The sequence below is a fragment of the Homo sapiens genome, chromosome 3, assembly GCF_000001405.40.
Source record: "Homo sapiens chromosome 3, GRCh38.p14 Primary Assembly".
In the NCBI taxonomy this organism is placed as follows: domain Eukaryota; kingdom Metazoa; phylum Chordata; class Mammalia; order Primates; family Hominidae; genus Homo; species Homo sapiens.
This window is the reverse complement of record NC_000003.12, coordinates 147,407,221-147,419,432: the sequence shown is the minus strand read 5'-3', so window position 1 is coordinate 147,419,432 and position 12,212 is coordinate 147,407,221. Positions and strand designations below refer to the sequence as shown.

The following is a 12,212-nucleotide window of genomic DNA, read 5'->3' as shown; positions in this document are numbered from 1 at the left end:
GCTGTCGGCTCCGCAGTGTGAACTCACTTAAACCAGCGCGGTTTGAAAACAAACACGTGCAGCTACCCCGCCGCACTATTTTGGGAGCCTAGCCAGCGACTTTCACAGGCCGGAGCCTCTGCTTGGTTCTCTCTCTAGCCCGCGAGGGCGGGGGAGTCTCATGCATATTCATCAGCACGTGGAACCTCGGGCCACAGGCCGCGCATGCGCACATCTCGCCCTGCCCGGCCAGAGCCTGCCGCGACGATTTGGAAAGCGCCCCGCCAGGCTGCGGGGTGGCGGGAGGGTCCCTCAAACGCTGACGACCCAGCCTTCGGTGGAGGTGTTGTGGGGAAGTCTCGCTGTTGCACCCCCTACACCTACCCCCGAAGACTGTTTCCATGCTTTCAATAAATCCACCAATGCAAAAATTTCCCTTTACGCACTCCATCCCACCCCTGTCCTTTCTCCACAACTTTCAGTTTTCTTAGTCAGAGGCTAGCATTTTCGCGGATGAATGGAAAATGTTTAAAAAGGAATCGCGATGCGAGCTTCTCTCACCGTTTGTGTTCCCGCTTACTGTAACTTCATGGACATTGTTACACAAAAGAAAGACGTAAAATAACAATTTTTTAAAGTTTGCTAAGGTCGGACGGCTTGGGTTTGCTTGCTATTGTTGTTTTTAAAGATGTGATTCCAATATGTTTATACCCACGCTCAATAGTTGATTCTTGTGTGTGCCATAGGTGAAAATGTCACTGCGTAACTTTCACAACCGGTGGATTTTCCTGGATATGCTTACAGAGATGTCTGACAACCATCAGAGGCAGCCAAAGTATTGTGGACAGTTGACACAATGTCAGTCTGTGGCATCTTCACTGCCAAGTGATATTTCCACTCTAGATAGCTAAACCCGATTTTTTAAAAACTCACCTTTGGTATATAACATCAGTTGGAAACTTCACACTGTTTTAGTTCTTCACTCTAAAGTGGATATCAACTTTAGTAACTGATGACAGATCCCAGCTTCCACAGTAAAAATAGCCTCTGGTTTGGCCTGATGTGTTTCCTCTTGCTAAGGAAGGGACTCTGGAGCAAACCAGCCTTGCATAGATTTAAGGAGAACATTATTCATATTTTGCACCTATTACACCATTGTATTTGCAATAAACTTTAAGGAAAAGGATTGAATGTGACATAAGAAGTTAACATTTTTTGTATTTCTTGCCCCAAAATAGTGCTTATCATTTTTTAAAAATTGCTATATGGTTACCCATAATAATCTTACTTTCTATATCTAACTAGTTTAAATGGTACATATTACAGAGGATGGACAGTGTGGTTAAAAGCCGAAAGAGAGACTATCGTGGCTAACTTGTACCTTTAGCGGCTTGACGGCACAGACAAGATCAATCTTTCCATTGCCAACACTATTTTCAATAATTCTAAAACAGTTGATATCAACTGTGACTATCTTTATGAAAATGCTTTTCCCCACAAATACGAACACATGATTCTAAGAACTACACTTGATGCTACAAGGAAGCCAGAACTCTGTACCTAGAGAGGAGGAGATAAATTTGTAATCGGTATTATAAGTTGGAAAAAGAAAAGAAATGTAACTTGGGAATGTGTAAGAGCTGATGTCTTTATATCTAGTCCACAGCCAAGGGCACAAGTTCCTTTATTTTGAGTGTGCCAGACCACCTGCAGTAACTCCTCATAACATCTTAAACTAAATCTTCTCTTTAAGGTCTAGGGCCTTCTCCAACTCACTTCCTGAAAAGCAGTATGCTCAGGTAACAACTCCAACAGCACCGACTCACAAGGGGTCCTAGACACTGATTTAATGTTGGCCTCAAAAAGAAAACTTCTGGAAGCTTTTGGGGCTAGGTGAGGTACTTGAGGGTATAATTCTCTGGCCAGCCCTTTAAAAGTTCTGAGAAAACTTCACAATAAAAGCATCTAAATGCCAGGCCTATCAGCAAAGAAGGTTAGTGCTACTTTCATTGTCAGGAAAAAAAAAAAATAAGAAAGAAAGAAAAAAAAAAGATAAGCAGATGGGGCAATTGAAAGGTTACATCTTTCTTTTGGAGGTGGTTTGCTTTTTAAAGGTTAACTTGAATGCTTGACTTTAAAAAATCAAAATCATCAGCTGCAAACGCTTAAAGCAGTTGGGGGTAGCTTTTGAAGAAGAAAACAAAGGATCTGAAATGTTTGAAATTACTTAGCCCCCATATAAATGGTGCTTGTATATTTATATGCTTGCTCTACAAATGCACACACACACATACCACAACTCATTTCTCTTCATTTCTCAAATATGATTGCTTGTACTCAGGCATTTTCTGTTGACACAACATAACTTTTTAATAACTTGTTAGCTGTTCTAATCATTTGATAGTATTCAGAATACAATGCAATTGCAAAATGAACCAGGACAGCATTCTACCTAAGTCAGAATCTAAAGCTACACACAGGAAACAGCTATTTGCAGCATCTTCAGCTCCTGCTAAAGAGAGTCTAACAATATATTTTGCTGTTCACATTTATGTATTTCAAAACCTAATAGCCCATGAAAAAAAGTATGAAGAATACATCTCAAGAAGCAGATATTAAAGGTACCAGCAAAATAATAGACTACATTTAACTTCGAAGGATTATTTTAGGCCACCTACATCATTAATGACTTTTTCTTTGTGATAGGTGTTGGAAAAGAGAATGCACAGGAGGGTTGGCTTAAATGTTGGCTTTTATTACGTTTACTTGCTGTGAGTAAGATTATTCACAAATGCAAACACACTACTCTTCAAATGTTTTCTTAAAAATTATTTGGCCTTCACAGTCTAAACAGATATTTGAAATATGGAGTCATTTTGAAGTAAACATTTACCCCTAAAATTTATCTTTAAAATATCCTACTTAAATCATATGTCATAGTGTGATATTTAATTGTTACACTGTGGTATTAAAGCAAAAGGGGCATCAGGTACACAACAAAAATTAGACAGTTATAATTCCCAATTTGAGGTAAACTACATCTAGGAATAGGAATGTTCGAAGAAAAGATGAACTCATCATTTACTATCTTCTTAAATGCACCAGCAAAATTACAAAAGTACCACTATTATCATGTTTATCATTATCACACTCATATCAGGTTATCAGACAAGCTGATCTCAATGAAAGTGGGAAGGATTATTAATTGTGGTGTTATCTTTTCTAGAGAGAAGAGATGTCTTTATTCCTCTTTCTATTTTTAACTAATGTCTGGACCTAATGTCTGGAGTCACTTCAAATGCAAATCTGTTAATCAGTTTCAAACTTCCAAACCAATTGGGGCTAGCTTTTGCTTCGCAAATTTTTGGAGCTAGCAGCAATTCCTGCTTAGGTATTCAACTTCCATAAATCTCACTAAACCTTGCAAGGTGGCGCTCTTTTCATGAAAAAAGCCAATATTATTGTTATAATCAGAATAACATTTTTTAAAAAGTTAAACACCACCCTCCCCAGTGTTTGATGTGGTACAGTAAGTGCAGCAAAGTCCTTCCTCAGCAAATAAGACTTTGTTGAAACAGTGACAAATATAAATAGCAAGAGATGAAAAGACAAGTCAACAAAGGATTCTTAAAGAAATTGAACATTTTTATCTTGTAATTGGCCAATGGTATAAACTGAAAAATTAATTTCACTTTAAAATAGATGTATCTTAAGGGGTTGTTATACTTTGTGGGGTTTTTCCTCTTGTTTTCTTTCTCAGAGTCAAATATGGCCTGTGGCTTCCTGAACACATAGAGTGCATTAAAGAATCAGGTCCATGGCCACCCTTGCCCAGTGAGGTCAGTTTCTGCCACCTGCTCTGCACCTCCACACACTAGCAACTACAGCCAAGGGCCTGATTTGTGATCTCCGGCTACGTTGTCTGCCTAATGGGGCGATCATGCAAGCTACAACCAGAGACAAAGAAGCCTGCGTTCCTACCAGCGCAGCTAACTTCATGGAAGCAGCATAGCTTGCAAATCTATCAAACTAAACTGCAAGAAAGACAATCTGATTTAGAGAAAAGGCATTCTGCTACAGTCATTAAGCACAAGTAATTTAGATTTTTTATATTGTCTCCTCATTTACAAATTTACTGTATCAATGCCAACCAATGGAACGAATTTCTTAAGTAAATGAGAAATAAATAAAAGAGATAGAAAGATAATCAAATTACTTAAAATAATCCTCTTCCCTAGATGTATTTTTGAGAGAACTAATAACAGTGGCAAAATCATAGGAATAATAACATATCATAGGAAGTAATTAATTTAAATTAGCATCATGTTTGAAGAATATAAGTGAAACGCTTTATGGACATTTACTTTTGTACAAAGAAGGAAGGCCTGGAAAAGCATGCATCGACATCCTGAAAATTAGTTATGGTCATAAATGGTTTAATTGAAGACAGCAATTTAAAATATGATATTGTAAATCTGCAACTCAGTTTCAGCCCGGGGAATTTAATCTAGGGGGCAGCGGAACCCTCGGCTGCAAGTTCATTTGCAATGTTGCAGAGCGAGCCCCTGAGCTTCTGACAATTCGTCTACATTAATATTGATGTCGCCTGTGCAATCTATTCCTGTTATTTTTATGGTTGTTATTCTACATCTGCAAAGGTCATTTAAATTATACTGCGGCCGAAAATTTGTTTCATAAATTTTGATATAAATACTAATTACACTCTCTCGGAGAGCCAGCAGGGTAGCATTCATTTATCACGTTTATACGACCTGCAGTGACAGAAAGGGAAGGCAAGGGAGACTGGAGAGCTTTTCTGGAGACCCTTTAAGACTGGCAGAAGAGGCAGCAGGTTGCTGGTGGGTGAAGAAGAAATTCCTACCACAATCACGGAGATTTAAGAATCTTTAATAAGGTACGAAAGGTTACCAAACAGTTCTGGAAACTAAAGTGTACATACGAGTTCTTCTAGCCATAAATATTGAAGAGCTGTAACATGGATAAACCGGCCCTTTACATGCGGATAAATATGGAAACTAGGAATTATATACATTATGTGGTTGTATCTTTTGCCAAAAGTAACGGACAGTTATAGTTTATATCTTTTTTAATATCACTTTACATAAACAAATGGAACAGTTTGACACGCAGATCCAGGCTCGTACTATACGAATTCTTGACAGGACATGAAACAACATTTTACTGCACTAAAGTACTTAGACTTTGGGACGAAATGTTTGCACTTTATACAAAAAAAGCACATTAATACCAATAATATTGGGTTAGGTCGACGTGGAGACTGTAATCGTACAAAGTAATTCACATTTTGGTACACATTTACTAGAACATTCTTGCCATTCAGTACAAACAGTTGGCTTTCGGCCGCCCACCCCTCCCCCTCCCCCTCCCCCCGCCCATCCGGTCCCTCCCCCCTCCCCCAATGCAAAGACCACAACGCCACAATCCCACCCACCCGCTCCAACCGAGATATAACTATTTACAGAATTCAACAGTACAGTTTTAAGCTAATAATTCTGTATTTACAAGAAAACAAAGAAAAAAAGAAGCCGAAGCCCCAGAGAGCCCGTACCAATTCGACAAGAAACTGGCCCTCGGGGTTGGCGGCATTTGGTCAGGTGGCCTCCTCCCCCTCGACCCCCTACCGCACCTTGGGTACCAAGCCTTTGCCAAAAAAAGAAAAATAATGAAAGCGAAAGGAAATTTTTAAAAGGTTGATGCTTCCTCTCTTACTCGTCCTGGGTCTATTGGCAGATTTTTTAAAAAAGGATTGCGGGGTCTGTGTGGGGGTTGTTTTGATTCGCAGGGTTCTTTCAGTAATGTTGTGTATACGTGTGTGATCAGTCTCTTAAATAGGGTTTTGTTCGATGTTTTGTTTCTGATTTTAAACGTACCATTCGTTAAAATTGGAAGAGAGCGCACTGTGGCCGGCTGTGTGGTGGACTGCGGAGGAGGAGGGCGATAAGGAGCTTGTGGTCGGGTTGTCTGTGGAGGGAGACACGATGGTGGGAGGCGTGGAGGATTCGTAGCCAGAGCTGGCGGCCGGCGAAGGCTGCGAGCCCTGCGAGGAGGATTCGTGGACCTGCAGGAATAAAGTCGCGTTTTTACGGACATAAAGAGCCAGTGCGGCGGCCGACTAGAGAGGCGAAGGCCGCGAGTGCCCTTCCTCCTGGACCCCTTGGAGCCCCCTGAACACAGGTGAGGCCCGATCAGCGGGACTTTGGGCTTGGTTTCTCTGCACAGGCCTGCAGAAACCGTGCTCCTGGGAAAGTCAGGGTCCCCAAGACTCACAAAAGAAAAATAGGTCTGGGAAGAGGGAGACTGGATATGAGGCCAGAGACTGCACTTTCTTTCCCTGAACTTTGCTTGTCCATGTTTAGGTGAGCCAGAGCTCAGGCCTGGGCGCAGGAGTCCAATTCTTGCGTCTCACTGGCAGCTGCAAGGGCAGCAGTTTCCGCAGCGTCAACCCCCTGCAAAAGCCCTAGCTCTGGGCCAAATTCAGTGGCGGCCTTTGCTCATACTCGCCTCTTTTAACTTTTATTATTAAACCAAAAATTTAAAACGGCCTTGGACACTCCCATCCCCTTTTCCAGGTCCCGCCCTACCTTCTCTGCCCAGTTCCACTGAGTGGAACCTTTGCCTTCCCGCTTCCTCTGGCTCCCGCCACCGCCTGTCTGCCACTCGCCGCCCGACCCCAAGCCGAGAGCCAAGAGAGCTCCTGCCTCAAAGGGGGCGACGAGAGTGCGGCGATTACCTTCATGTGTTTGCGCAGCGAACTGGGATGCGTGTAGGACTTGTCGCACATCTTGCAAAGATAGGGCTTGTCGCTCGTGTGCACGTGCATGTGCTTCTTGCGGTCGCTGCTGTTAGCGAAGCGCCGGTCACAGCCCTCAAACTCGCACTTGAAGGGCTTCTCCCCTGGTGCCAAAGTAGAATGAGAGGGGTCTAATTAGAAAAAAATACCGCGGCCGTTTTTCAAAAACTAAACAAATAGAAAAAAAATAAAACAAAAAGCCAGCAGCCCAGGATTAGCACTTTGCAAGCTTAAAAACCCGGAACGTCAATAAATTCTTACATCTGCAGTGGAATTATAAATATCTTAACTCTATTGTAATCCCTAATACAATTGGATCTACATTTTATTTTTATGTTTAAAAAAATTAATAGTAGGAGGAGTCGGTTTTTAGCATCAGATCTGGAAACTCGTATTACCCAGAGCTACACACGATTTCGGATTGCTTCCACCTGGCTCCTGGTTTCTAGTTTTCACGTTTGCGGCTTATTCTCCTGCCCTATTGCTTTTCTCTCCTCCCCCTGCCCCCTCCCCGACGCTCCGCATCCCCTGGTCGCCTCCTCCAACCCACCCCACTCCCTACATACACTCACATTTTATAGCGTAATCTGGGCCGGAGAGAACTCAACGCCGCAAATTCTTCCCTGACTCGGGCGTTAAACCCGAAGTCTCAAGCATGGTTCTCAGATCTCACCCGGGAAAATCAGAATAGGAAAGGAGACCCAGTTCCCGGCCTCTTGGGGGCAGGGGGCCCAGAATGTTTTGTCTGATGCCAGGCTACAACCCTGAGCTCGTGGGAACTTTTTTTTTTTTTAACTGTTCCGGACCTGTGTCTTGATTATTTTTAAAGGCCAAAGAGGGGAATCTGGTGTTTTGAAAACACCCTCATGGAGTCTAATAGACAACAAGTTCTTCCTTGCCTTCCTCGGACTTTCTCCACCCCTCAAACCCACTCTTAAAACCAGTCACTACTAAAACTGAACTCTTCAAATATGCATAAAGCTCCAAAAGCCTCCTCAATCCCAAATTATTTCCTTTCCCCACTCTGTCTCAATTCTTTCTGTCTCTGTTTTGTTTCTTTCTACGCCCTTAACCCGGCCTCCTCAATTTCCTCAGCTCTTTCCTTTGGCAAAGTCCTCAGTGAAGTGCACGGAGAGAGATGTTGGCAGCAAGCAAGGGTTTAGATTTGTCTGCAGCCTGAGCAGCTGGCGCCTCCGCGGCTGCCGGGAGCCAGCCACTTTCTCCGGCTTCGAAAGCACCAAGGTCTCCGCCAAACCAGGTTTGGCTTCCTGTTCTCCGACCTTTTTTGTTTCTCATTTAAAAAATCTATATACCCAGCTCCTCCTCGTCCGCCCTGTGTGTGTGTGTGTGTTTTCCATAATTTCAAGCCAGAAACTAAAAATCAGCGCACACTTTCCCTGCCTGCCTGCCGGAACCTGACGCCCGGGATCCCACCGAGGCTGCGTTTGTGCGACCTGGCCGCTGACTTTCGGTTTGGGTCCCAGGCCCAAGTGGGAATGGGTAGGGGTCCTACAGCTGTTTCCGTACCTGTGTGCGTCCTTTTGTGGATCTTTAAATTCTCGGAGCGCGCGAAGACCTTGCCACAGCCAGGGAAGGGGCAGGGAAAGGGCTTCTCGCCCGTGTGCACGCGGATGTGGTTAACCAGTTTGTATTTGGCTTTGAAGGGCTTGCCCTCGCGCGGACACTCCTCCCAGAAGCAGATGTGATTACTCTGCTCCGGGCCACCTACGTGCTCCACGGTGACGTGCGTAACTAGCTCGTGCATGGTGCTGAAAGTTTTGTTGCACGACTTTTTGGGGTTGGCCAGCTGCTCGGGCTCGATCCACTTGCAGATGAGCTCTTGCTTGATGGGTTGGCGCATGTAGCGGAAGAAGGCGCCGGCGCCGTGATGCGCGGCCATGTTCACGTTCATGGGCCCGTAGCCGTGCAGCTGCGGCGCAGCATAGTGCTCCGAACGCGGGCTGGTCACCTGGCCGTACTGCTCCGGTCGCGGGTACATGTCCCCCGAGAAGCCGAGCCTCATCTGCCCGTTGACCACGTTAGGCGACGCGTGGCCGGCAGCCTGCTCGTGAAGCCCGGGGAAGAGGAGGTGGCCCGCGGCGTCCGTGTGGCCGTGTGGGCCCCCGAAGCCCCCGGCCGATGCAGCAAAGAGGCTGTGCTGTGCGCTGGCTGCCGCCGCCGCGTCGCCAAAACCCCGGTTGCGGAACAGAAAGTCCCGCGTGGAGTTGAAGGCTGCGCTGGAATAGGAGCCGACGTGGCCCGGGTGATGGTGATGGCCCAGGGCCGCAGCAGCCGCGTAGCCTGGCGCCTGCGACGTGAAGGCCGTCTGGCCGGCCGAAGCCAGCTCGTGCGAACTGGGGTTGAGCTTGAAGGCGCCCATGCCGTCGGCGAACGGGTTGATGCCCAGGCCCACGTCTCGTTCGGCCACGTCGCCCGCGGAGTGGTGGCGGGACGCGCCAAAGGTGGTCACGCCGATCGCTGGGTACTGGGGGCCGGCGTCCAGGAGCATCGTGGCTGCTCGGGGCGAGCCCCGGCCTCCCCCGCCCCCCCCACCCTCGCCAGCCGAGGAGGGAAAATCGGGAGGAGGAGGAGGAACAAGAGGAGGAGGAAGAGGAGGAAGAAGAGGAGGAGGGAGGGGGAGTCGACCCACCTCGCGAAGTCCTAGCCTGCAGGCAATGGCGCGGCGCGCCCGGGCGCTGGCCGGGCCAAACGCAAAGTAGCCGGACGGCTGCGGGCCGCGAGTAACGCAGGCTCCAGCGCCCGCCAGGCAGATTCTGCCGGCCCGGCTCGCACTTTCTCGCCGCTCAGTCTCTGCCGAGAGGGCCGCGCGTCAAGGCTGCCCGGGGAAAGGCATGGAGCATCTCAGCCCCCTAAAAAAAAACTTCCTCCTGGATTTGTAGCATAGAGGAATGTGAGCGCCAGTGCCGCGACTGCTTCGCCCTCTCTCCGCCTCGCGCAGCGCGCCCCTCCTTACTTCTCCACTAGCCCCTCGCCCTTTCTTTTCTCTCTCTCTCCTTTCTCTCACGCTCGCCTCCTCGCTCCTTCACTCTCCGTTTTTCCCTCTCTGCTTTTTGAAAAAAAAAAAAAAAAAAGTGGGTGGGGGGGTGAAGAAAGAAAGAAAAAGCCAAAGAAAAGGCGCAAATCATGCACAATATTGTCTTTTGCGGTTTATCTTCCTGGGGAGAAACTTTCACCTCCTCAGCCGGGCGGTGAGCGCGAGACTGATAGCAGCAATCATTCCTGCAGATAAATGAATTGAAAGGACGACACCGTCCCCCCCTTGATGAATGGGAGCAGGGGGGAGGTGTCACGTGCTGCCGACGCTGGCGCCCATTGGTGCGCCCGCATTCCCCCCGCCCTCAGCCGCCGCGCCAACGGAGGGCGCGCCGAGGCGCCGCGCGCAGCTCATTGGCCCGCCCGCCTCATCAATCCCAGGTATTGTAAAGCGCTTGACATCCCCTTTTGACAAACCAGGGCTGCCAGGAGTAGCAACTTTTTTTTTAGCCAAATTTTTTCCCTCTTCTCACGGAAATTTTTTTTCTTTTTTCTTTTCTTTCTTTCTTTTTTTTTTTTTTTTTTTTTTTTTGCCACGATTACTTTTCCTTCTCACAGTCATATGCATTCCTCTTCCTCCTTTGCCCTCCCGCACCCCGGCGCTGCCCTTCCCGAAACCAACTTTTCGCTGAGCGATTAGAGACTTCAGACGTCTCCGGGTGCAGCAGGCGGGGATGGGGCTAGTAAACACAGCAAAGGCACTTCCAGAATGTCCCGATTCAGCAACTTTCTTTTCTTTCTTCCCCCTTCCCCCCTCCCTTCAAGAGCAGCAAAAGAGGCTTTTGTTATTTGCTCCTTTTGAAGTTTGTTTCCCTCTTGCTTTGTCCCCCTCCTGTTTATAATTTAAGATCTTGGGAGCACACGGGCACTATGCTCTCTTTACAAAAAAATGTAATTTCTCAGTGTAACCGGCAGCCTCTGTATTTCTCGCTTTTATCTAATCAGACTTCCGGCACCACCGCACCCCCCTCCCCGAAAACACACACACACACACACTCACACACACAGGTGGATGAAAGCGCTTAAGTTCCCAGGTTATTGAGGTTTGAATTTTTTAATGGCAAATTTGAAACGTTGTTGCCAGTTTCCTTTACTTTTTCTCTCTCTTGCGTTATTTTTCTGTTTTCTGCCTTTCCGTTGTCTCCTTCGACTGCCCCCGCTAACCCTGTCTCTCCTCACTCCTGTTCCCTACTTGGGCCCCTTTCATTCAGGTAAAACTGTAAATTTCCCAACGCGCTATTGTTCCCTTGGGCTGCCCAAAGCTCCCTAGAGATCCCCGAATACTTTTTCGGTATTTAAATCCCCAATAGATAGGACCAATGTAAATTTTGTGACATTCAAACCTTTTCTAGTTCACAAATCAGTCACCCTTGTCACAGTTATTGAAATTCCGCAACTCGCCACACCAGGACGGTGGAAAAAGCGGGCGCGGTCTTTGTTGCCGACCAGGCTTTTGATCGCCAGAGAAAATTTACTTACCTTCAGATGAGTGAGCAGAAAAAGAAATAACACTCCCTTTGATTTAGTTAGGAAAATGCAGACATTTGGATTCAGTGCAAACATACAACACTCGCTTGTTTTCGCGATGCGGCCCTCGATTAACCTGTCTTTGCCTAGCGCAAAGTCTATTCAACAACTGCGCGTAGTTTCTTTTTGTCCCTTCCACAAAGAGCCATTGACTATATATTAAAATGATTGTTGAAAGGTAGGGGAGTATGGTACTTAAAAGCAGGAAAAAAAAATCCCTGTGACTCAATCAATTAAGCCGAGCAACATTTATGCATTTCAAAAAATGCACGCGGATGCGGGGGGTTGTGGGGACGAAGGTTGCATTTCTCCGCAGCTCTGTTTAAAACCCAGCAGTCCTGGCCGAGGCTTTAGCTGAAGCGTCTGCATATTCATTAGGTCTAATTATTTTCTAGTAAGGAAAACACAAAAAGCCAAGAGTCGGAATCCTTCAATTTACCCTTTGTTTCTAACTTCATTTGGCTTCTTTGCAGCTGAATCAAAGCCCTAAACTCTTTTTCCAAACAAAGAAACCTCAACTCATCCTTTCATAGGCGGCCCGGTTAGGAAACTCACCGTGCCCCAGCGAGAGGAAAATGAAAATGAATATATTTTTTGCCCTGACGCCAGCGCTGACTGCACGGGCTGGAGGAAGGCAGGGTCAGCGTCCGCCGCTCCTCGCCTTTCTGGTTTTCTGGTCTTCTCACCAACTAGATTCTCGCTTGGGGCTGGCCGGCGGGACTGCCCTTTCCATGGGCTGTGCTTGCTCAAAAGTCGGCTTGGGTATCCGGGATGATTTCCCGGTGCCTGAAGGGACCTGGCTGAGCATTTGTGCTTGTGC

At 46.6% G+C, this 12,212-nt stretch overlaps 1 protein-coding gene across 1 annotated transcript, besides 5 other annotated features; it reads right to left on the bottom strand.

Annotated features, from left to right (window-relative positions):
- Window positions 136-285: an enhancer, noted in NCBI's record as "active region_20675". NCBI's record gives its function as "activates an Ori minimal core promoter by ATAC-STARR-seq in GM12878 lymphoblastoid cells {active_cell/tissue: GM12878}" and the evidence as "EXISTENCE:reporter gene assay evidence [ECO:0000049][PMID:35858748]".
- Window positions 2,714-10,068, bottom strand: ZIC1 (Zic family zinc finger 1). The gene is made up of 3 exons (NM_003412.4): window positions 8,339-10,068; window positions 6,752-6,915; window positions 2,714-6,079 (listed from the first exon to the last, which is right to left on the bottom strand). The coding sequence occupies exons 1-3, from the start codon at window positions 9,318-9,320 to the stop codon at window positions 5,882-5,884; spliced, it is 1,344 nt and encodes a 447-aa protein (NP_003403.2). The 5' UTR covers window positions 9,321-10,068; the 3' UTR covers window positions 2,714-5,881.
- Window positions 5,576-6,415: an enhancer, noted in NCBI's record as "H3K4me1 hESC enhancer chr3:147130805-147131644 (GRCh37/hg19 assembly coordinates)". NCBI's record gives its function as "activates a minimal SCP1, AML or CMV promoter by ChIP-STARR-seq in primed H9 embryonic stem cells {active_cell/tissue: H9 hESC(primed)}" and the evidence as "EXISTENCE:reporter gene assay evidence [ECO:0000049][PMID:30033119]".
- Window positions 6,416-7,255: an enhancer, noted in NCBI's record as "NANOG-H3K4me1 hESC enhancer chr3:147129965-147130804 (GRCh37/hg19 assembly coordinates)". NCBI's record gives its function as "activates a minimal SCP1, AML or CMV promoter by ChIP-STARR-seq in naive H9 embryonic stem cells {active_cell/tissue: H9 hESC(naive)}" and the evidence as "EXISTENCE:reporter gene assay evidence [ECO:0000049][PMID:30033119]".
- Window positions 9,881-10,461: an enhancer, noted in NCBI's record as "OCT4-NANOG hESC enhancer chr3:147126759-147127339 (GRCh37/hg19 assembly coordinates)". NCBI's record gives its function as "activates a minimal SCP1, AML or CMV promoter by ChIP-STARR-seq in naive and primed H9 embryonic stem cells {active_cell/tissue: H9 hESC(naive and primed)}" and the evidence as "EXISTENCE:reporter gene assay evidence [ECO:0000049][PMID:30033119]".
- Window positions 10,884-12,074: an enhancer, noted in NCBI's record as "VISTA enhancer hs1043". NCBI's record gives its function as "enhancer in: neural tube[9/10] | hindbrain (rhombencephalon)[9/10]" and the evidence as "EXISTENCE:transgenic organism evidence [ECO:0001131][PMID:17130149]".

What these genes read in the sequence shown, in the direction of transcription:
- ZIC1 (NM_003412.4), bottom strand. Translation starts at nt 9,320, where the DNA reads ATGCTCCTGGACGCCGGCCCCCAGTACCCAGCGATCGGCGTGACCACC. An exon ending in CCACAAAAGGACGCACACAG is followed by an intron (nt 6,916 to 8,338) that starts GTACGGAAACAG and finishes CTTTGGCACCAG; the next exon opens with GGGAGAAGCCCTTCAAGTGC. An exon ending in CGCTGCGCAAACACATGAAG is followed by an intron (nt 6,080 to 6,751) that starts GTAATCGCCGCA and finishes TTATTCCTGCAG; the next exon opens with GTCCACGAATCCTCCTCGCA.